At 34.2% G+C, this 25,112-nt stretch overlaps 1 long non-coding RNA gene across 8 annotated transcripts in view; it reads right to left on the bottom strand.

Annotated features, from left to right (window-relative positions):
* Nucleotides 1-24,142, bottom strand: part of LOC105374524 (uncharacterized) — a 507,306-nt gene extending 483,164 nt beyond the window's left edge. For 7 of the 8 annotated variants that reach the window (XR_007058434.1, XR_007058432.1, XR_007058433.1 and 4 more), the window contains exons 1-3: nucleotides 24,061-24,142; nucleotides 21,962-22,089; nucleotides 18,431-18,524 (exon numbers count right to left, since the gene is read on the bottom strand). This is a non-coding gene — a long non-coding RNA (uncharacterized LOC105374524). Of the gene's footprint in view, nucleotides 1-18,430; nucleotides 18,525-21,961; nucleotides 22,090-23,078; nucleotides 23,383-24,060 lie in introns of those variants that run through there. The other variant, XR_007058437.1, reaches the window with a different exon arrangement.
* Nucleotides 24,143-25,112: the final 970 nt, after the last annotated feature.

Raw genomic sequence — 25,112 nt, 5'->3', positions numbered from 1 at the left:
CTTTGGGAAGCCAAGGCAGGAGGATTGCTTGAGCCCAGGAGTTCGAGACCAGCCTGGGCAACATAGCAGGATCTTGTCTCTACAAAAAAATTAAAAATTAGCCAGGTATGGCAGTGAGTGCCTGTGGTCCCAGCTACTCGAGAGGCTGAGGTGGCAGAATTGCTTAAGCCCCAGAAATCAAGGCTGCAGTGAGCTATGATCACACCACTGCACTCTAGCCTGGGTGATAGAGCAAGACTCTGTCTCAAAAAATAAAATAAGGAAGGTTTCATGGAAACAACTGGTTTTTCATACCACTGTATCCGGGCTATAGTTTTTGAATCTCTAAACAGCAACAGTGACCCGAATACCTCTAAAAGCAAGCTCCGTATAGTGAATTCCATTGGCCAGTTGACTTTTGTGAATGAGTGGGAAGAGCATTCCAACAGAAAATATCTGAGCCTCGAGATATCATAAATCACACCTTAGGGTACAATAAACCTTTTAAAGTACATATTTAAAAGAGAAATGCTGATTTCCTGATAAAATATGAATGTTCCTCAAATTAAGTCCTAGATAGGAATGTAAAGTTGCCCAAGTTATTATTATTATGTTTAGCCTGATAGTTTTAAGTTCTGAAAGAAAAATAGCAATGATCGTAAAATGAAGAGCAAGTATTTGACTGCTATGTTCCTCAACTTCTCTCCAGCCCCTATCCACTGTCTCAGCAGTCTGGTTATGATTGGAGATCTTGGATGAAAAGCAAAAGACAAGCTCGGGCAAAAACAAAGCACACTGGGCACTTACTCCAAATTAGGGAATAGGAACCACATTCATAGAAACATATTGTATTAGTCCGTTTTCACACTGCTGATAAAGGCATACCCAAGAGCGGGTAACTTACAAAAGAAAGAGGTTTAATGGACTTACAGTTCCACGTGGCTGGGGAGGCTTCAAAATCATGGCAGAAGGTTAAAAGCTTGTCTCACATGGCAGCAGACAAGAGAAGAGAGCCTGGGCAGGGAAACTCCCCTTTTTAAAACCATCAGATCTTGTGAGACTTATTCACTATCACAAGAACAGCATGGGAAAGACCTGCCCCATGATTCAATTACCTCCCACCAGATCCCTCCCACAGCACGTGGGAATTCAAGATGAGATTTGGATGGGGATGCAGCCAAGCCGTATCACATATCCTGAAATATACTGCAATCTTGCTTGTCTTTAAAAACAGCCATTCCTGTCGCATAGAACCTTGAGAGCCCCCTCTTATTATTTTGTATCATTTTATCATTTTCTGTGGGTATAATAAGTGATATAAGAAAAAAGTGGTTTTGGATTCATACATTATTAAATATCATATTATAAAGATGCTAATAGAACCATTAATATTATTCATACAATATAAAGACAAATTTTTACTTTTCCCATTTAACAAGTGATGCATACTGTTTCATTGACTTTAATTATGTAATAAAAGCATGAATTGTTAACAAATAAATTCAAAAATGACATATATTGTTTTTTGTTTGTAGAACTAATGAGTATTAAAATGTAGATTAAATTTTAACTGTAGCTAGTACCATCAAAACATAAGACAAAAAACTTTCTGGCGCTTATAATTTGGGATCTTTAAAAACTGCATTTTAAAGAAACCACTGATTTATTTTTTAATGTGTTTGTGTTTTTTGACTATATGATAGGATATAAGTGTTCCAAGTTACTTTTTGCAAGTAATTTACAAATAGCAAGATGAAGATATGGACACTTTTTTTTCCCAATAAATCAAAAGTCAAATTGGATCTAATTGTCACTATATCTTCAAGTACTAGATGAGACATAAAATATCTGAATAAAGGCAAAGATATGCTATGTTCCTCAAAAAGAAGACATAATATTGTGAAGATGCTCATTTCTTGAAAAAAAAAAAAATTAGCTGGGCATGGTGGTGCACATCTGTAGTTTCAGCCACTCAGGAGTCTGAGGTGGGAGAGTAGCTTAAGCCCGGGAGGCCGACATTGTAGTGAACCATGATTATGCCACTGCACTCCAGCTTGGGCGACAGAGTTAGGCCTTGTCTCAAAAAACAAACATAGAAACAAAACAAAAACAACAACAACAACAACAAAAATGATATTCATTTCACCAACATTAATCTGGAATTCTGGTTAAATACCTATCAAAATCCCAACAAGATTTTTTCATAGAACTTGATAAGGTAATCTTAACTATTTCTATAAAAGAAAATATGCAAGACTTGCCAGGATAATTTTATAAAGGCAGAACAATGATGGCAACTTGTTTTACCAGATAACAAAATATATTATACACTTACAGAAATTAAAATAAATACAGTATTGGTGTGAGCCAATACCACACCTCAATAGATTGAGGGAAAATTATAAATAGTCTAGAGAAATAAACTCATGTACATATGTGAATGTGCTGTGTTAAACCTGATATACTTCATATACAGTGGACAACATTATTAAATAAATAAAGTTGAAATAATTTTAAAGAATCTATCTTTAAATAAATAAACCCAAATAATTTGATAGAAAAATGAGCAAAATATTTGGATAAAAAATTTATAGAACAGGAAACATACATGATTAAAAAACAGAAAAAGCTGAATCTTAGATTAGAACATGATACAAAAATTAATTGTTAATATTCAATGTAGGTTAGAGTATTGAGAATAAAAATTCATATTAGTATAGGATTCTTTTGGAGGGAAATTTGACAATATTTTACAAATATATAAAATTCGTTACCTTTTAATCAGCAATTCACTTTCTAAGAGCTATTCTACAGAAATACTAGTATATTTCAAATGCTAATATCTTTTTTAAAATATTACAAAATCTATTATATACATTCACATGTATGCATGCTTGTATGTATGTATGTGTACACCTACTTTCTTGGGCCCTATCTAAACCTGATTTATTATCTTCAGGGATGGCATCCAGAATTGTTATTTTAAAAACATTTTTACATATTATTTCTATACAGCTTTATTTGCAAATCACTGAAATTAAATCAAAGAACTCTTGTGCATCCTCACTTTGATTTATTCAGAAATATTTATTGAATGGTTATTACGTACTGGTCTCTGTTCAAGCCTCTGGAAATACGGTAGTAAACAAAATAACTGTTGACCTAGCAGAGTCTCAATTTTACTGAGAGAGAGAGAAAATAATCAAATGAACTTTTTGAAAAATATTTCCAAAATTTTAATGTTAAAAGCTGCTGGGGTCGGGTAAGGGGGCTCACGCCTGTAATCCCAGCACTTTGGGAGGCTGAGGAGGGCGGATCACGAGATTAGGAGATCGAGACCAACCTGGCTAACACGGTGAAACCCCATCTCTACTAAAGATACAAAAAATTAGCCGGGCGTGGTGGCGGGCGCCTGAAGTCCCAGCTACTCGGGAGACTGAGGAAGGAGAATGGCGTGAACCCGGAAGGCGGAGCTTGCAGCGAGCCCAGATCGCGCCACTGCACTCATCCAGCCTGGGTGACAGAGCAAGACTCTGTCTCAAAAAAAAAAAAAAAAAAAGGCTGCTGGTTTCATGTAGAAAACTCAAATTTGGCTCCCATATGTGCTGCCCAGGCTTCAAGGGAAGAAAGTGATGCATGTTTGAGTCAGAGACAAAGATATGATTAGCATCACGACCAACAGGATCCTTGGTCCAAAGCACATTGAAGATTCTTAACTGAAAGTGACTGGATCCAGGAGCAGCGGGGAAGGAAGCCATGGGAAACTAACTGGAACAGTAGAATTTGTCTCACTGAAAAAGGGGCCAGCAGCCCAAATGACCAAATCTGAAGGACTGTTGATTTCTTATGTGGCTGATTAAGAGCTTGAGATAGAGGTAATGGCTCTAAGCAATGAGCGCAAACACCAGAGGTCAGTGGTGTTTTTGAGTACAATGACTATGGATAGTTTATTAGGGAAAAAAACCTTTATCTAAATTCCTGTTAATAATGAAAAGTTTAGGTTTCATAGGTCTGAACTGATTCAATATGTCAAATAATTCTGAACTCAAACACATTCTACTTATTGGCTTCTCAGTGACCTGTTCAGCCTTACTCATGGCTGGTGTGTTTGAAAATACAACTTCCAGATAACCTAATGGGATAAAATGTCTTTTGCAAAGAGATCAATATATACTGAATTTGATCCTGTTAAGAAAGCTTCAAAAGATGTACCAGTCCTCCATTATAAAATCCAAATATGGATGAGTTGCATTCAAATAAAGGTCTAATAATGAAGCTATGAATTTTAATTCACCCTTGAAATGGAATTTATTCTCACTAACATAAAGTGACAAGACATCCGTTATAAGCTTCTATTTTGATCTTTCATTTACCTACTATCAATGTCAAATACCAATTTCCTATAAGTTTTCATTTCTAAAGGATAACAACATACTATCCTTATCTAACTATAATATTGAATAGAGTGCTTGATTATATTTTATAAACCCATTCATAAATTTTATATTTTTAGGAGTCAGCATTTATTATTTTCAGAATAATAGGTAAAACTAGGTAACAAGACCCTTAGGCTGATAGTGCTGAACAGTGACCAGTTGTCTCATGATGTACCATATGTATACATCATTTTATAATATATACTTTATACATATATGCATATGAATGCATGCAAATATAGAATTCTTTTATATGTATGTATATGTAAAGATGTATATATTCACTCTAACTCCTTTCACATATTTTATTTTTAAGGAAACACCATCCTATACATAATATATATATGCATACATACATACATATCACACAATATATAATATGCACATAGATAATAAACAAGATATAAATATATGCCCCAAAATGGAAGCTATATGCAATGCATGCATATTCAGGGATAGGAGTGTCCTCAATCCTTTATTTTGCTAAAGAAGCAACTGAGATCCAAAGAAAATAAATGGCTTAAGGTCACAGCGAGGAAAAAAATCAAAAACCAAAGCATCATCATTTCAGTCAGTGTTTCTCCCACTTAATATTTCGATTTTACATTCTGAGTGTTAGACATGGAGAGTGAACTGTAGATGCTTCCTTTTTTACCCCAGTTTTCCGACAACTTCTCTGCTGAGATTTGGATTCTTATCATAAGGCTCTGTTTTGGAAGCACCAATTGCCATTTTAATGCAACTTCCTAATCATGCAGACAGCCAGCCTCTCATAAATCATATAAAGTACCTGAAAATATGATTTATGAGCTAAGTTATGGGAAATGGGGTCCTTTAATATTCTTAACCCTTCAGGATGTTGTTACCTATCACAGTCTCCTTGCCTGATTCAACTGAAGGTGGGTCTGAACACTTTCATCCCAAATGGCCCCTACTGCTACCCCCAACTAACACTGACCTTTTACCCATTCACCTGTATCCATAAAGAATTTGCAGCTTCTTTAAGTTCATCAACTGAGTATAAATTTGTAATTTAAACTCTTACTCAGCTTGTGGCTATTACAGAATATGTTCCTGAGGCACTGCCTTACATGGTAATTAAAGAACTGCATTTAATAGCATCTTACTATAGAATTAAAAGAGCAAGAGTATTACAGTTTGTTGCAGGAAATAGTCTACAAAAGACCCTAGAAAATCCAAGATGAAACTAATTTAAACCATATGCCTTGCTGAAAAGGAGTATGAAAAAAATGTCTGTAATATGCAGTAAATGAGGCCCATAACTCATTGGAACTTCCAATGAGTTATGTGTTAAATTCATATTTCACAACATGGTCATGCATTTTTTTAAAAAAAATCTGCCTGTCTATTAACCCTTTTCTTTGTGTGAGAGAGTTTATAGGAACAACATGGCTTTGTTTGCATTAATATATTTACATATGCAAATAGAAATCAAATACCAGTAGTTTTTTTTTTTTTAACCCCCTCCCTTATGGCTCAATATATTATCGCTTCACCAAACCAACAAATTAAAAACAATTTCCAATTTCTTCCACAAATACCTAGTGGCTAAATGTTATTAATGCATTTGTCTGAAAGGCGCAAATTCAAACATTGCTCAGTTAGGGAAGAAGAATCTACAGTGCTGATTGCTTGCAATCCGTTTCAGTAATCTATATTTTCTTCACGGAGGTGAAAGTTTATCTCACCATGGAACAACAGTTATAATTTTGCTTCTCCCATTCATCAACTCTGATATTTCGGAGCCTCAAATCATCACTTTCTGGAGCTACAGAGTAAGCAAGCTGTTGTCTATTTTCTTTTTAGCACAATCCTTTAAAAAAATGTTTCCCTGCACATTATGGGTTTATCTTCTGTCTGTGAGAGACCCTAATAAATCACGCTTGCTTTCAGCTATCATAGATTATTAGGCTTTTATAATCATGAAATAAACCCAATAGACTATTATTACTATTTTTAGGAGATTGAAAATTACTAGGTATTTTCTTCTTTGTATGAGTACGTGGTTCGCTCATTTTTCAGGAGGGTAGTGTTAACATTTAAACTCTGTCAGCATATTGCTTGTACAACAACAATGCTCCCAACAAATTGTGGTCTGAGGGGTGGGAGTGGGAGTGAGCACAGTAAACAGGGAGTTCCAGAATTACAAGGGTTTAGTCAGCCTCTGCCATCCTCAAGTTAAAAGCCTGAAGTTTATTTCACAATGTGAACCTCTCAAAGTGTTCTCTCTTGCCCTTTCTCTTTTCACATACAATAATTGCTGATAATCTTTTGTGGAACAATGCTTTGAAATCATTTCAGTTTTAAGAGAGTACATGAAGTCCATCAAACAGAATGAAGCCCCTAAAGGAGATTTATGTGAATTCTTTCTCATCACAATTACTGCAATTAGATACACGTATACCTTTGTGTCCTTAATATTGTAATTTTCATGGGGCAATGATTTGAAGGAGTTTCTTGCTAGAAATAGATCTAAAACGCAGGGTTTTGATGACATTCTCAGCTAAACTAATTGTGTGAGCTGGGAACAAGGTAATGAGGACAGATGTCAAGGTCAATATAATTACTCATTTCTGAATCTGGGTTAATATTTCCAAAGACCATCACATATAAGTTACAACTTATAACCGCCACTAATAGAAAATTCAGCTTTGGTTTTTCTGGTATGGATGCAATGTTGTTTTCTCTCCCTTGTCTCCAATGGTGTCCCAAAGTGAACTTTATTTGTCAAAGGAACAAAACCAAATCTACTTTCTTGTTGACTCTTCATCATATCGAAAGATGCAGATGTGAACAACAAAAGAAACACTTGGCATGATCACTGCAAATGTGTGCATTCCAAAATACAGCTTATAAAAATCATATTTATCCCTTTGAGAGGAGACAGACATAAAAGGGGACAAATACAAGGAGGAATTGTGGTGTTGGGTTATTTACATTTCTCATAGTCCTGAAATTATTATATAGCTATTTTCTTGGATCTTTTTTCCCTATCAGCCATAGACTGTCTGTACATCTTGTGTCATAATTGCTATGAAAGGACCTTATTCCAATTGACATTCATTTCCAGGTTTTTGCACCTAAGCTCCTGGATGATCCTCATGTTTCAAAGTGATACAACGGTATTCATAAACAGCGATTTAGAACTCTATTCACTTATCTTGGCTAGGATAAATCAACACAGGTAGAGAGGTGCTGATTAAAAGCCATGCTTCAATGGAAAGTTATTTCAAAGCCAAAATTAATAGAAACCACTCAACTAAACAGATTTGGGGCCTTAGGAACAAAACTGGCACGTAATAATACAAGAAAAAGACAACGGACTCAGTCTCTTTCTCTCTGTCTCTCATTACTGTTCAGTACTACTAATAATACAACATTTACCTCTATATTCATGTCACTGATTGATAGCCTCTTTTTAATTCTATTTTTTCCAAAATGTGCTTGTTGAACAAAATTCTATTCATCACAATACTTTAGTATTCCATACAGAGCATGGATGGCAAGCTCTCTGAGTTATAATCATCCAACAGGTTTCTGGAATTAATTGGGTAATTCAGAAAGTCATCTCCTGCCTTAGGCTTGACTTACTCTTCCCTCCCTACAATAATCCACAGCCAATCTGCCTCTGTCTGTCCTAACTTTTGCCACCTTGACACTGAGTCTTGTCTCATGCCAATTGCTGAGTTTCACTTTGAAATCCTTCCTTTCAAAAACCAAACATTTAAAGAATCATGATTTCAAAACACTTCTAAACTTCAACCAAAAAAAGAGAAAAGGAAATCTTCCCATTTTCCCCTCCCCTTCTACTGACAGCTTGTCTTTCTCTATTTTTCATCCAAATAAGCAGAGCCCTGTAAATCTTGTCCAGAAGACATGGACTGAAAGAATTAATCAAACTGTTGTTTATGAGCTGCTCAGAGCAGATTAAATGTTGTGTTGACAACACAATTTGCAAATTATCTATCAACATCAACAGACATACAGCAATGAGCCAAGCCAATTGGATACCTTTGGACACAAGAGGACCATGTATTTCCTAGTCTTGGTTCCAAAACTGAGTCCTTTTGAAGGAGTTTTATCCAACATTATTTTCAGTCTCACTGCTGCAGATGAGTTGCTTTACAATTTATTTTGGATTAAATGATAGTTTGATTTCTGCCACATACAAGTTAAGTTTCCTGCCTATATCACTCCAGACATCCCATAGTCCAATTCACCACCAGATATTCATCAGATAACTGCCTCTTAAAAATGTCTATGGCAGCCACCTGCCAAAATGATCCCAACCTCCTGGTATTCACAGCCTTCATACTTTTGTTTGTAGTTTGCTTACACATAACAAGTTCAATCTCTGTAATCAGTGGAACAGGAGAGAGGTGGTGGTGTGTCATTTCTCAGATTTCTTACATCTGTAACCTGTTCCTGTATGTGTCTGGTCAAAATTTCATTGTATTAAAATACCATAACCTGTTTATATATTTACCTATTAATGAATATTACCTTCCAGTTTTGACAACTATGAATAAAATTACTGTGAACATTGGTGTACAAGTCTTTTTGTGGGCCTATGCTTTCAAAAATAAACACCTAAGGTTGAAATTGGTAGGTCACAAGGTAATGCTTGCTTTGCATTATAAAAACTGAATAATTATTTCCCAATAATATCTTACAATCTAATCAACAAAGAGTGAGAATTCCATTTGCTTCACATTCTTGCCAATACTTGATATTAATGTTCATTTGAATTTTAGCCACACTAGTAAGTGAAATGTTCTCTTATAATGGTTTAATTTGTGTTTTATGATGCCTGGTAATACTGGGCAACTTTTCATGACTTATTGGCTATTTGGATACCTTTGTATACAAAGGTGCTTAAAGAGTTTATATAAAAAGTTTATTCAAGTCCTTTTACTCATTTTTAATTAATCTGCTAGCTTCTTATTAATAAGTTGTAAAAGGCTTTCATATATCCTGGTTAGAAGTTTTTGTCAGAATTATTCATTTTAATTATTCTCCCAGTCTGTAGCTTAATTTTTATTCTTAATACTGTATTTTTAAAAACAAGTTTTACTTTAGATTAAGCTTCATGTAACATGCTTTATAGTCAGTGCTTTTTATTTACTATCCACGAAATCTTTGCCTTTCCCAAGGTTATAAACATTCTCTTCTATATTTTCTTCTAGAAGTATTAGCATTTGACTTCTTGAAATAAATTGTAGAATCAACCTAACAATGCCTATTTTTAAACAATTTTTCTGGGATTTTGATGGGGATTGCATTCAAACTAGAGTTCAATTTGGGAAGAACTGACATCTTAAAAATACAGAATCTTCCAATTCATTAATATGATGTCCCTCTCCATTTTCTAATTTCTTTGTCAGTTTCAATGTTGTCATCTTTCAAGCCTTTTGTTACATTCATTTCTAGGTATTTTCATGCTGTTGTTATTGTTGTTATGTCATTTTTTATTTTTTAAATATAATAGACATTTAATTGATTTTGTTATAAATTTTGTATCCTAAACATGGCTAAATTCATTTGTTAAGTCCAGAAAATTTTTTATACATTGCTTAAGATTCCCTAATATTTTCTTTTGCTTACATAGTCTGTAAATAAAGGCAATTTTACATTTCTCCTTCCAAACTGGCACATGTATGTCACTTTAGCTTTTTCTTGTTATACTGGCAAGGACTTCCAGCATTATATTTAATGGAACAGACATTCTTGTCTTGTTCTCATTTGTAGAGAGAAATCTTTTTTGTGTTGTACCATTATGCATGATAGCAGTTTTAGAATTTTGAAGTGCTTCTTATTAACTCAGAAAATTTTCTTCTATCCTTAGCTGACGGATATATTTAAACTTGAATAGGTATTGAATTTTATTAACCATTATTTTTGTATCTGTTATAATTACACATTTATATATCTGTATTTATATAACATAAACATCTGATATAATTATATTTTTTCTTTTTTTGTCTGTTAATATGGGGGATTGCATTGATTGATATTCTTTTTAATGCTTAAACAAAACTTGCATCCACTTGGTCATGATATATTATCTTTTTTTATTAGATTGCTATTTTCAATTTGATAATATTTTGTTGAGAATATTTATGCCTATGTTCATGAGTGATATTAATATGTACTTTTCTTTTTTAGTAATATATTGTCAAATTGGGATATCATGCTTATGCTCACCTTATAAAATTTGTTGAAAAGCATTCTACTTATCTCTGTTTTCTGAAAGTTTTGTTATTATTGTTCCATAAAATTGGTATTATTTATTCTATAAATGGTTTATACTACTTACCAGTAAAATTACTTGGACCCTAAATTTTCCTTGGGTCTTATTATACATTCAAATTTTATATATCTTATTATATATATATATAATATATATCTTATTATACATTCAGATATACAATTACTCAGATTTTTTAGTTCATCTTATGTCAGTTACGGTAAAATGTATTTTTTACGGTATGTGACCATTTCAACCAAGTTTTGAATTTATCAGCATAAAATTCTTCATATTGTTTATTTCCCATATTCCTTTTAATGTCTGTATGATGTGTAATAATATCTCCTTTTTCATTTATAACACTGATGACTTGTATTTTATTCCTTTTTGTCTTGATAATTCCAGTCAGGTATTTCTCAATTTTAGGAACCTTTTCAAAGAACTAATGCTTGGCTATTAATCTTCTCTATTGTTTGCCTGTTCTAATTCATTGATTTTTTTTAATTTGCTTATTGTGTTGAATTTATTGTTGTTTCTAACTTTTCAAAGTAGAAAATTAGATCATTAACTTAAAACTTTCTTCATTCAACTACACATTTAATACTTAAAGTTCTACTCTAAGCTCTGCTTAGAGCATTCCCTCAAGTTTTGATTTGTTTTTATTATTATTCAGTTTAAAACATGTTCTGATTTATCTTCTGATTTCTTCTGGTCTCCATGAGATATTTAGAAGTTTGCTATTTAATTTTCAGATATTTCAAGATTTTTTGATATATTCTTTTTATTGGTATTGAATTTAATTTTACTGTTGTCTAACATCAAATATCATAAGATCTCAATTGTTTGCAATGTATTGAGAAGCAGTTTGTGGCCCACTATGTGGTACATTTTTATGAACATTATAAATCAATATGAAAAGAATGTTTATTCTGCAGTTGTGTGTATAGTGCTCGGTAAATGTCAATTAACTTGGTGAACAATGTTGCCGAAATTTTCTATATTCTTCCAAAATTTTTTCTACTTGTTTCATCATAATGAGAGAGTGTTGTTTACATTTCCAACTATTATTATGTATTTCTTATTTTTCCATTCGCTTCTGTCAATTTTTGCTTCATTAATTTTAAAGTTCTATTATTTGGTGTATACATCTTTAGGATTATGTCTTCCTGATGTATATCTGCCCCTTTTATTAATGTAAAATGTTCCTCTTTATCTCTATTAATATTTATAGTCCTTAAGCCTTTATTGTCTGATGTTAATATACCCAGCATAGCTTTCTTTTGATTTGTGTTCCCAGAGTATATTTTTTCTGTCTTTTGATTTTTAATCTATGTACATCTTTGTATTTAAAGTACATTTCTGACAGATAAACTCTGGCTGAGACTTACTTTTTATCCCCTCTGATAAACTTTGCTTTTAATTAGAATATTTAAATAATTTGTATTTAGTGTAGTCATAAATATGGTTAGGTTTAAGTCTATATATTCATGCTATTATTTTTCTGTTTTTCTCACCTGACCTTTGTTTCTATTTTCTTCCTGTGTGCCTTCTTTTGAATTATTTGGTTATGTTTCATGACCTCTTTGGCTTATTAGCTACAATTATTTTATTTTTAGTTAATGTATTTATAGTATCCATTCTTTACATATCAAAATGTATTTAGAGTTAATATTTTCTCACTTCACACCTCACACTTCCCACATACTTCACACCCTTCATTGCATCACTAATAACTAATTACTATTAATAACTAATAAACTTCCCATTTTACATTTTACACTTCACAGTTTCTACTTCACAAATGTAACCCTTGCTTCCTTGTACCATTGTTGTCATTTATTTACCTTGATGTACATTTTAACTCTGCCTTTAATATTATTATTTTTACATTAACTTATGACAAGAAAAATAATATTTTCTTTTATATTTTCCCATTTTGGTTCTCTTTCCTACCTCTAGATGTAATTTTTACATTTGATATTATTTCCTTCTCCCTGAAGAATATTCTCTAGCATTTCTCGTAGTGTTAATCCGCTGGTGATACATGGTCTCAGGTTTTTTTTAATCTGAAAATGTCTTTATTTTATCCTTACTTTTAAAGTGTATTTTTGCCAATTCAAATATACATTAAGAGTCTATTTTTGTTTTTGCATTTTTTAACATTATAAATATGTCATTCATGGTCTTCTAGAGTCTGTTGTTTCCTGTGAAAAGCTAACAATTATTTTTATAATTGTTCCTCATGTGTTATGTCTTTGATCTCTAGCTGATTTCAAAACTTTTTATGTTTGGATTTTAGTAAATCTGATGTGCCTCAGTGAGGTCTTTCATCATATTTAGAAAACTGTAATGCTTGTGACTCCAATTAATATTGTCCATCAGATCCTTGTACATCTTTCAACGTTCTTTAAATTTTCCCCTTTCTTTTCCAAATTAAACAACTTCTATTTAATTGTCTCCAAATTTATTGACTGTGTATTCTTCCATATCCAATTTGCTATCAACCCATTCAGTTAATTTTCCACTTCAGTTAATGTATTTTTTTGTTCCAGAATTTTGGTTTTGTTTTTTGTGTAGTTTCAATTCTCTGCTAAGATTGCCTACATACTTATGCATTTAGGCATATTTTTTATTATTTATTTGAACATATTTCATTAATTCTTTGAAAATATATTAGTTGCTTTACAGTATTTGTCTGCTAACTCCAATAACAAGACATCTTGAATTTGATTTTTTTTTTTTTTTTTTTTTTTGAGATGGAGTCTCGCTTTGTAGCCCAGGCTGGAGTGCAGTGGCGCCATCTCAGCTCACTGCAACCTCTGCCTCCTGGGTCCTGGTTCAAACAATTCTCCTGCCTCAGTCTCCTGAGTAGCTGGGATTACAGGCACGCGCCACCATGCCCAGTTAATTTTTGTATTTTTAGTAGAGACAGGATTTTACCACGTTGGCCAGGATGGTCTTGAACTCCTGACCTCATGATCTGCCCAACTCAGCCTCCCAAAGCACTGGAATTACAGGCATGAGCCACTGCGCTCAGCCTGGACATCTTGAATTTGACTTCTAATGTCTGTTTTTCTTTACTTAAAGCTGAGCTGCATTTTTCTGTCTCTTTGCATGTCTAGTTATTTTTATTGCATACTAGACATTGTCAGTAACACTGTAGAGATTCTGGATTCTATTATTTTCCTCTGAAGGGTATGTATTTTTGTTTTGCTTTTGCTTTAATAAGCATTTCAATTAGAGGCTGAAATTGTATAGGCTTTTTTTCCCCCTTTAAACTGTGTAGGCTTTATTTTGTGTGTTTTTAGATGGATTTGCAGAAAACTAAAAACATTTATTCAGTCCTTCTAATATTAGATCCTACCTCCAAACCATCAATTCTAAAGTTGTCATCAGAACTTGATTTGGGGTTGGTTAAGGCTGCTACAGAGTAGAACTAACTCTAAGGTGTGGACTTTACTTTTGAGGGGAAGTCTCTCCTGAGGGGCCTTACTTTGATATCTCAGTTAAATTCAAAAGTGTTAATGAGATTTTTCTACTCTATATAGGCCAGAACTCTAATATTCCTTAGCACTATTCAAACTTTTATATCTCTGTTTTGCTATAAAATCCATAGCAGCTGGTCCCTGGTAGACCTGGGTAGTTTTATTCTGTGTATGTGCAAATGAGCCTCAATCAGGAACTCATGAGGAGCCCTTGCCTTCACAGACTTGTATTTATCATAAAGAGCCTCTTTGCCCCCACTGTCTTTTCTTTCAGACTTCAACTGCTTCAGGGAGGGTTCCTATACTTAGATCTTAGCTTCTTTAGCTCAGCAGAAACTTTTCTTCTTTTCTTGGATTCTCCATCCTAATATCATTGTTGGGGATTTGTTTCAGGCAAATAACCACAGAAATCATGCAGTTCCCTTTATACATTTTTATTTTTCAGGGATCATTGTCTTGTGCTGCCTATTGTGCAAAGCCTCAAACCCAATAATTTATATGTTTTGTTCAGTTTTATTATTGTTTGTGGTTGATTATGGTGTAATGATGTAGTCTAGTACTTCATTATATTTTTAGTCTGGCTTTTAAATAAATAAATTCCAATGTAGATTATTCATGCTTGTGAATAAGGCTGTGAACCTCCTTTATACCACAAACCAGGCTAAACTTGGAAGTCAATGTAATGATTCCACCTCCTTAGTATGATTTGAATTAGCCCAAATGCTTATCTCTAAATAATCTTTTACCCAACTGTGATGAATGAAACTTCTTGATATTTTCCCCCTTGGTTCAAAATTCTTATTATACTAATTTATTTAAATGTTAAAGTTAGCATAGGGACAAACTCTGAAATAGACATTAGTTAAAATTTAATTTGGCATATATTTTTGAGAATCTCCAAAAGAGTGTTACAGTAGTATAGTTGCAGAAGAGAGAGAAGACTACTTAGCTTCTCAAAAGCTCAGTAAAGTATGCTAGAGCAATTTGTGAATTGTCAAATTCTACCCTAAAAGTGTTTGTTTCATATATGGCACTGTTTAAAGTATGCTTTACATTTGAGAGGAAGGAATGGAGAAAAGACAAAGGAAAAGTATTTCTCTGGCTTTTACCTATTATCAAAAATTAATTTATCAATATAGTTATTAGCCTAGAAAATCTGATTCTGAGGGAATAAAAGTCAAGCCTGTATTACTGAAGTGTGAAGAAAAGGGCTTTGTGGCATCAAAATAACAGCAGTGTTGAGAAGTGTCATGTAACAGAAACAGAGATACCTTAAATTTAGGAGCTTGTAGGAGCAATGAGGATGAATTACCTGCAAGTGGTCCTGATTTTCGCTAGCTCACTCTGGCTAATTATTCATTTTTACCCTTACCTAATAAGCAACTAATAGATTGTACCAATATATAAGCTGTCATCAAGTGCCAAGCAGAATGCTAAGCACTTTGTATGGATTACTGTACATGGTTGGCACTATTTTTACTCATTACACAGAAGAAGAAATGAAAGCTTAGGGAGCAGTGGATAGACCTTACGGTGGCCCTTATGTCCCTTCCCTGCTTCCTGGTGCCTGTATCTTGTATAATCCCCTCCTCTTCAGTGTGAGTGAGACCTGTGACTTATTTTTAACCAACAGAACATGTCAAAGGTGATGAATCATTCCCATGATTACAATTTATCACATAATGCTCCATCTTGCTAACATACTCAATTTCTCTACTGGTGGCTTTGTAGATGCAAGTTGCCATAAATACTACAGGCATGAGAAAATTAATTTTGCCAACAACCTGAGGGAGCTTGGAAATGGAGTGTTTCCCAGCTGAGCCTCTCATGAGAACCCAGGCTTGATTTAAACGTGAGTTGCAGCTTTCTGAGGCACTAGGCGGAAGACCAGTAAAAATGCCCCAACTCTTTGACCCACAGAAACTGTGAGATAATAAATGTATGTTTTTTTAAGCCACTAAATTCGTTAATTTGTTATGTGACAATAGATAACTAACACAAGAGGTAAGTTAAGTTGCTCAAGGTCACACAGGTAAGAAGTGGCAACATCAGTAACCAAATCAGACCTATTTGAATTCAAAGTGCTTGCTCTTTACTAATATTTTATACTACATTCCACTCCTCTGCTCTGCAGTACCCAATTTCCCATGAGTAAAATATTGGTGATGCCAAGAAGGTTTCCAATGCAATTCTAAGTTTCACGAAACTTTGAATTTCGATGTGAAATCTCCTTGTATTTTATGGGAGATAGGGGCAAAATCTCCACATATGAGTAACAATAGCTGATGCTTAATTAGCATACTATGTATGAGGAACTGTGCTCTTGGAGATTTATTTCCATACTATGGTTTGGATCTGTCCCTACCCAAATTTCTTATTGAACTGTCATTCTCAATGCTGAAGGGAGGGCCTAGTGAGAGGTGATTGGATCATAGAGGCAGTTTCTAATGGTTTAGAACCATCCCCCAAGTGCTGTTCTAGTAATAGAATCCTCATGAGATCTTTACTTTTGTTTAAAAGTATGTAGCACCTCTCCCCCTTTCTGTCTTCCTCCTGCTCCTGCCAAGTAAAACATACCTATTTCCCCTTTGCTTTCTGCCATGACTGAAAGTTTCCTGAGGCCTCCCCAGAAGCTGAGCAGATGGCCAGCATCTTGCTTCCTGTACAGCCTGTGGAACCATGAGCCAATTAAACCTTTTTTCTTTATGAATTATTCAGTCTCAGGTATTTCTTTATAGAAATGCAAAAACAAACTAACACAGTCCATTATCTCATTTAACTTTTTGGCACTTCTATGAGGTAGACACTAAAATCATTATCTGTTCTAGAGAAAACTCTGAGTTATGGAGGTTATCAAATTAGTCAAAAAGTTGTACAGCTACTAAGGAGCAAAGTAAAGATTTGAACTCAGGTCTATTTTATTCTAACATATGGGATTTTCAATCAGAGAAATCTGCAAGCTGTTGACAGAGATTCACATATGGCCTAGAAAATGAAAAATGATGCAGGTTGAAATTGCAATTGTTAGTCTTTAATGTGATGTGTATGAAATTCTCTAAAGCAGATGGACATCATTTATTGACTACCTGAAGCATCACACACTGGACTGGGTGCTAGAATAGTATTAATGTAGCCTCAAATTTCACCCATCTACTCTTTAATTATTTACTGACTTTCGTCTGTGTTCCAGGCACACAATAGATACTGGGAAGAGAAAAAGAAAACGTATAGTACAGGACTTTAAGAAGCTTACAGTCTATTGGTAGAGAACGACAAGTGAATTAATTGATTATAATTATGGCCCAAATATTGAGTCTATTTTCAAACTTTCTTGTTCATTGGCAAGTAACCAGAATCACTGCTGCCCAAATATGCAAACCTCAAATAACTGAAACCTTATTTAAGTGGTGACTTACTTTGAAAGCGAGGTATTAGCATTGCAAATGTATAAAGTTATATCTGAATTTTAATAAAGTGACTAAAAAGAACAATGTACCCTTTAGGAGATATTTAGGAGAGGCATCGAAATTTTGAAGAATTTGCTTTGTTTTTACAGAAAGAAGAGAAGGGCAGTATAAAATATCCTTATTTTGGTACAGCATATGTATCTGGTTAGTTTAATCAGGGCTACCAATTTTAACAAATATGAATATCTGTCCCTGTAGAAGACACTGTAGTTCCTCCCAGTATTTTTTTTTTTTCATCCTTTCCCTATCTCGTAGCACCCTTGCTTTTTGGGTGTGTCTCAAATGACCTATGCATTCAGGATAGTTCCTTTGCCATGGCCATAAGGATGGTTCAGTCAGAAAACTACTGTTAAACTAATAACATGGATACAAATGAAACTACCAGGAGTATTTGGCAGCCATTTCACTACCATGAAAGGAATCCATTTTAGGATGAGGGTGTAACAAGGAGACGAAACATGTAGTAGGTATTTCATGGCATTGTTGAGTACCTAGATTAAGTCCACTTTATTTCTAATCTTTTGCATTGTGTAAATCAACAACTTCCCTCCTTGTTTAAGCCAATATAATTTGAATTTTCTCTTACAGACCACAAATATGGTTGAGAGTTATGAAACCTTAAGTCATCTATGTTAAAATAATCAGTTTTTCTGACATCTTTATCTGAATCATTTTTATGGTAATGGATGTCAGGTAAGAGTTAGCAAGTACAGATTGTTGACTTCTGAGTAGTGGAGACAACTCTATCAGTCAGCATGGTAGCCATCCTTTCAGGGAACCCCCAGTGGTCCTTACCTTCTGGTACCTGTGTCCTTATGTAGTCTCCTCTAACATGGAATCAGGACTGGTTATGACCGATCGCAGAAATGACAGCATGTGATTTCCAAGGCTAGGTCATAAAAGACATAAAAGCTTCAACTTCAGTCTCTTGGGATTCTTTACCTTCATCATGAAGATTTAAACATCTCTATGGACTACCTTACATGAAGAACTGAGTCCGGCCACTAACCCAGTATTAACTTATCAGTAATATAATTAACCTACCTTGGAAGCAAATTCTAGTCCCAGTCAAGCCTTTAGACTGAAACCCCCCCGCTACTTGTGACTGCAACCTTGTGAGAATCCTGAGTTAGAAACACCAGTGAAACCATTCCTAAATTCCTGAACCACAGACATAATAAACAATTATAGTTGTTTTAAGCTACTAAGTTTTGAGGTAAGTTGCTACACATCAATAAATAACTAATATTTATTTATTAGTTATATCAGGGATTTCATAATCATGTAGTTCTTAGGAGGAGGAATATAAAAATAATAAATGCCATTTTCCTGGTTACAAAGACCTCATAATTTTATTGGAAAGATAATAAAAACACAAATAAAGCAAACACATTTCCTTTAATATATTTGTCACTCAAAATGTATCATTAATTAACTAAGAGACCAATACACTATATGCTATTAACAGAGGCTAAATTATCTGGTTCAAGAAATAGCTATGATTAATAATAGTTGATCAGCTGCCCACAATTTCCTATAACTGAAAATTGTGATTGATATATATATATATATATACACACACACACACGCATAGAATATAGAAGCAGATGAATATAAATATGTTTTAAATTATGTTTAAAAATTAAGAATTACATTTTATGGTCTTTAATTCTTAACAGCAGAATTTCAAAATCTCCTATTGTTTGACTGCTAGAAGGCTCATTAGTAACCACTTTACATTTTGAGGTTATGGAAACTATCCTAGGAGTGATTTGTAAGATACCACACAGGATGAGAGCTGATAGAGTGATCAATCAATAACCAATAATTTTATATAATTATCATGTAAAACAAAAGATGGTTTGATCAAGACTCCTCACAAATATCTAAATATTAGGAAACAAAAATACATTTTGTCCCCTCAGATGGAAAATGCAGGAAACAGTATGACCATAGAATTTTGCCAAAGATCTACATCAATTAAGAGGTTAAAAACATGGTATTTCTCTCACCTACAAAGCAGCTACATAGAGCATAATGAAATAGGAATTAAGGGCTTCTTTAATACAAAACAAAAAAATTGATAAATAAGTTTGCTGGGTTCTGCAGTGTAATTACTTTAATATGTGAAAAATAAACTTCCATAATATGGTCAGCAATTTGCTGGAGGGCCAGGAACATCTAATGTCAATGATTTCATTAAGCTATTAGATTCCCTTTGATTAAAATTAACAATTGGTGTTACACCACCTGACAATGGAAGCTTTTCATCAGAGCAGCTAGTTAAAATACCACAGTGTTGTCTTTCTTATCGCTGCTTCCATATGAAACTCATAAGAATAGAGCTTCCTCAGTCCAACAGCTGGAAAACCCCACTTCTGAGATAAGAGAGGTTGTGTTCATCATGACAAAAAGTGCAATATTATGAAGGAATTTGTAGAAATAATAGGATCTACATGGAAATGCTGAGGATAATTTAACAAATGTGTCCAGACACTGACTTATGTTTTAAGCTCCTCTTCAAAACTGGGCATTGCGTTCATGGCTGCTATCTAACTTGTGCTTGGCTTTCAGCTTCAGATAATCACATGTAGCTATTCTTTCTCTCGCTCGCTCTCTCTTTTTCTGACAACAGAAATGAATTTAACAATCAAAACTCTGAGAAAAGAGTTGACTACAGTCAGGTTTTCTAAATCTAATAATGATTTTCTTCTTCCCTCCCTCCCTCCCTGCCTTCCTTCCTTCCTTCCTTCCTTCCTTCCTTCCTTCCTTCCTTCCTCCCTTCCTCCTTTCCCTTTCTTTCTTTTTCAAAAAGATTTAAGGTTTCTTTTTAGCAGAAACAGAAATAACAACTTACCAGACAGCAGACCTAGTTATAAGCAGTTGATTTATATTGACTCACTTGAGCTTCACAACACTGAGAAATAGTTTGTTATGATCATTCCCACTTTACAGATAAGGAGAATCAACAACAGGGAAGTTGAATGACCCACCCAAGGTCATATAGCTAATAACCCTTGCCATCTGTTTCCAGATTTTATGTACGTGATACATAATTTACTAAAATACATATTCCTAATTTTTTCAAAAATTTTTAATGTGGCAGCAATCAAGAAATCAAAACTCAGGACAGAGATGCCTGACTCTTTTGGGATAAAGTGGTATTTTTGGTCTGTTGTTTCATTTTTTAAAAATGGCTTCAATATAAGCACCGCAACCAGTTAGTGCAAACATATACAGCATATCCTTGAAAATGTATGTGCAAATCCAATACTTTTATATATTAAATGATGTTTTAAATAAACTAAGAGAACTATTGTTTAATTTACTTTTCTAAATAAATTTTAGAAATTCAAATTCCTATAAATGGGGCTCATTTAAATTATGTCACCTTGTAAATATTTGTTTTTACTCGCATAAAGGAGAAAGGAAGAGAGCAAACAAAAATTATAGAAGGAATGTCAAATTGTGAGAATAATTTTTTAATATTATTGAATCATATAACCTTTGAATAAATAATAATTATGATAAACTGCTGACTGTAGAGAACTTTGTAGCTTACAAAAATGCTCCCAAATTTGTATGTCATTTAGATGCTCAAAATAAACCTGTGATAAAGAAAGTCCAAGCATAATTATAAACCACATTGCATGTGGGTAATCGCTTGGCCATCAGCTCATAAAAGATCAGAACAGCCTTTGCCCTGTTCACCCATTATCCCAGCTCTTAGCATACTTCCTGGAACATAGTAGGCACTCACTAGGTAGCTGCTAGACAAAGGAATTAATTGATCAGTTAATGAGTTAATGAATAAAGGAGGGGCCAAGATTTTGATTTCTGGCCAGAGTGCCAAAGAATGAAGCCCAGGTCTGCCACCTAAAAATGTTATAGATTTGGGCAAGTTATTTTTAAACATCTCTGAGTATTTATGAGAGTAACAATAGTGCCTACCTCACCCTGAAAAGATGCAGATGCAACATATATTTGATGAATGAATGAATAATATAACAATTGAGTGAATTAAAACTCAAAATAAGTCTTTGCTTCCATGTGAATGCTCCTTCTATTACCTTCTCTTAAAGGTTACCCAGGAAACCTTTAAGTCCTGTAAAATCCACCCTCAGGAAACTTACTTAAAGCCATGTAGGTCACAGGCTGACCTAGACACTAAGTCAAGTCCTGGGTGGATCTTGACCTGATCCAGGGCCTCATCTCATGCTCAAAATAACTTTCATTGATGATTTCTTTAGGCCTTCTCTGACACTAATCTTACATTGCTGGAGCCACTTAACCTGAATCACAAAGATTGGAATTAAATTTAAATACCTTAGTTTTGTGGTTTTAAACTGTGTTCTTAGGCAATTGCAAGTTGCTTGAAGGCAAGGACAACTTCAGTCTTATTCCACAGGACTTCTCATACATTTACTGGCACCTAGTGGGTGCTCTGCGAATATCTGTTGAATGAACGGACATTTCACAGGAACCTAGATGTCCACAGAGCAGCTTCAGAGTTTCCAAAATATTTTATTAAACATTTATTTAAAATATTTAATTATTTTAAAGTCTTTAAATAAATAAATAAAATAGTGCACATGCTCAAATGCACCATATTTCAAAATTTCACATATTGGATACCATCAATACAATAAATCATACAGTTACATGAACAAGTGTAGGCACTGACTTGAACAAAGTATTTTCTCCTATTTTTGTGCATTGCTTTATTCACTCATATAGTTCAAGTATCAGTTAAGCACCTTTTCTGGTCTAGGCACCATCTAGGTACTTGATATAAATCAGTGAACAAAATAGACACAGATTTTTTTCCTTCATGGAACTTACATGCGAATGAAGAAACAGATAATAAACAAATTGTACAGTTTATCATAAGAGAATACAGTGCCAGAGACTGGGGCAGTGTTTGAAGGATGGATATAGGCTGCAATTTTGATTAGGGTGGTCAGGGTAGGCCTTATTGATAAGATGACATGAGACCAGAGACTTGAAACTAGAGGGAGTTAGCCAGGTGGATATCTGGGGAAAGATTATTGGATGCCTACATGGAGAAAAAATATATAAACTAACATATGCCTCACATGATCAACAAATACAAATTTTTGGATAAAGATCTAAATATAAAATGCAAAATAAATAATTGTTTTAGAAAATAATATAGGAGAATAACTTCATAACATTGAGTTGGGAGGTTTTTAATAAGATGTAGAAGCTCTATTTGTAAAGGAAGTATTAATAAATTAAACTATATTTCGTTCACGAAAATTATCATTAAGAAAGTTAAAAGACAGCATGAGTTGGAAAAAGATATTTTCATCTATATAGCTGACATAGAACTAATATCCAGAATAACGTATAAAGAACCTCCACAAAACAGTAAGAAATAGTGACAACCAAAAAATAACAAGCAAGAGACTTGAACAGATACTTCACAAAAGTGGTGTCCCAATAGCCAGTTGCCATTTGAAAAGGTGTTTATCTGGCCAGGCGAGGTGGCTCACGCCTGTAATCCCAGCACTTTGGGAGGCCGAGGCGGGTGGATCATGAGGTCAGGAGATTGAGACCATCCTGGCTAACACAGTGAAACCCCGTCTCTACTAAAAATAAAAAAATTAGCTAGGCTCCTGTAGTCCCAGCAACTCGGGAGGCTGAGGCAGGAAAATGACGTGAACCCGGGAGGCGGAGCTTGCAGTGAGCCGAGATCGCGCCACGGCATGCCAGCCTGGGTAACAGAGCCAGACTCCGTCTCAAAAAAAAAAAAAAAAAAAGTGTTTATCCTTAATTGTCATAATATAAATGTAAACTTAAAATGGATGGATTACTACCACAGGCCCACCAGAATGACAAAAAATTAAAAAGGTTAAAAATGCTAAGAATTTTTCAAGCATGTGGAACAACTGGAATTCTCAGGTACTGAGGGTGAGACTGTAAATTAATACACTTTGGAAAATAATGTGACATTATTACAACTGAAGATATGTGTCCCTATGAGTCAGCAATTTTACATCTCATATATGCCACTGAACTGTGTATACATAAAAATCAAGAGACAAGTACAAGAATATTCATAATCGCATTTTTCAAAATAAAATATAAAAGCAAACCAAATCCCATCAATGACAGAATGGAAAAACAAACTGTAGTACATTTACACCATGCACAGCAATGAAAATAAACAAACTACTAGTACACATAACACACAGGTAATCACACAAACATTATGTGGAATAAAAGAAACCAGATACAAAGAATGCACAGACACAAAGACTACATAATTCCATTTAAACGAAGTTCAGAAACAGATAAAACTGAACTGCTTAGAGATGCTGTATTAGTCCCTTTTCATACTGCTATGAAGAAATATCCGAGACTGGGTAATGTATAAAAGAAAGGAGGTTTAACGGACTCACGTTTCCACATGGCTGGGGAAGCCTCACAATCATGGCGGAAGGTGAAGGAGGAGCAAAGACACGTTGCATGACAGCAGGCAAGAGAGCATGTGCAGGGGAACTGCCTTTTATAACGAACTCGTGAGACTTACTATCACGAGAAGAGCATACGAAAAACCCGCCCCCATGATTCAGTTACCTCCCACTGAGTCCCTCCCACAACACATGGTGGTTATGGGAGCTACAATTCAAGGTGAGACTTGGGTGGAGACACAGCCAAACCATATCAGATGCGTAACTGGTATATGAGCTATATAATGAAGAAATAATATAAAAGATCAAGAGAATGATTACCTATTGGAAGAGATGAGGTAGGTAGTAATTTGGAAGAAGCCAATGAAGGGCTTTTGAGATGCTGGAAATATCCAATTTGTTGATTTTGGTGGTTTTCATATGAGTTTTTAATAATTTATTAAGCTATTAATATCAACTTTTAGGTAATTTTTTGCTTGTGTTATATTTCATAACGAAAAAACCAAAGTCATTAGAAAAATACTACGGTATCAAGCAATTAAAAAATTGAAGAAGAAGAACTAGAGATTATGAGAATAGAAAATACTTTTGAGGAATTCTGTTTCAAAGGAGAGCAAAGAAATGAAGCAGTAGCTGTTTGAGGAAGTGATATCAAAAGGAGGACTGATGGGAGAAACTAATCCAGTAGAAAGCAAACGTAGGAAAAATAAAGAAGGATTGCTGAAAACAGGTCTTTGAATAGGCAAAAGGGGATGGCATCTAGGGAACAAGTAGATGGGTTGGCATTAAATAGGAGCATGGCTCTTTCATCTATGAAATACGCAGGCTATAGTGAAAACAAAAATTGAAAGGTGAGTAGATATTGACACACTACAAATCCTATCATCTGATAACTTCTATTTTCTCAGAGAAGTAGGAAGCACAGTCTTTGGCTGCAAGTGAGAATGGGAAAACTGTTCATGATTGAGAAGAGAAAAGAAGGTGCAAAATAGTCCTCAAGAAAAGTAGAAGAGTGGACTGGGGAAATGTGATATAACCAC

Source organism: Homo sapiens, chromosome 4, assembly GCF_000001405.40.
Source record: "Homo sapiens chromosome 4, GRCh38.p14 Primary Assembly".
Taxonomy (NCBI): Eukaryota; Metazoa; Chordata; class Mammalia; order Primates; family Hominidae; genus Homo; species Homo sapiens.
This window is presented reverse-complemented; position numbering and strand designations above follow the sequence as displayed.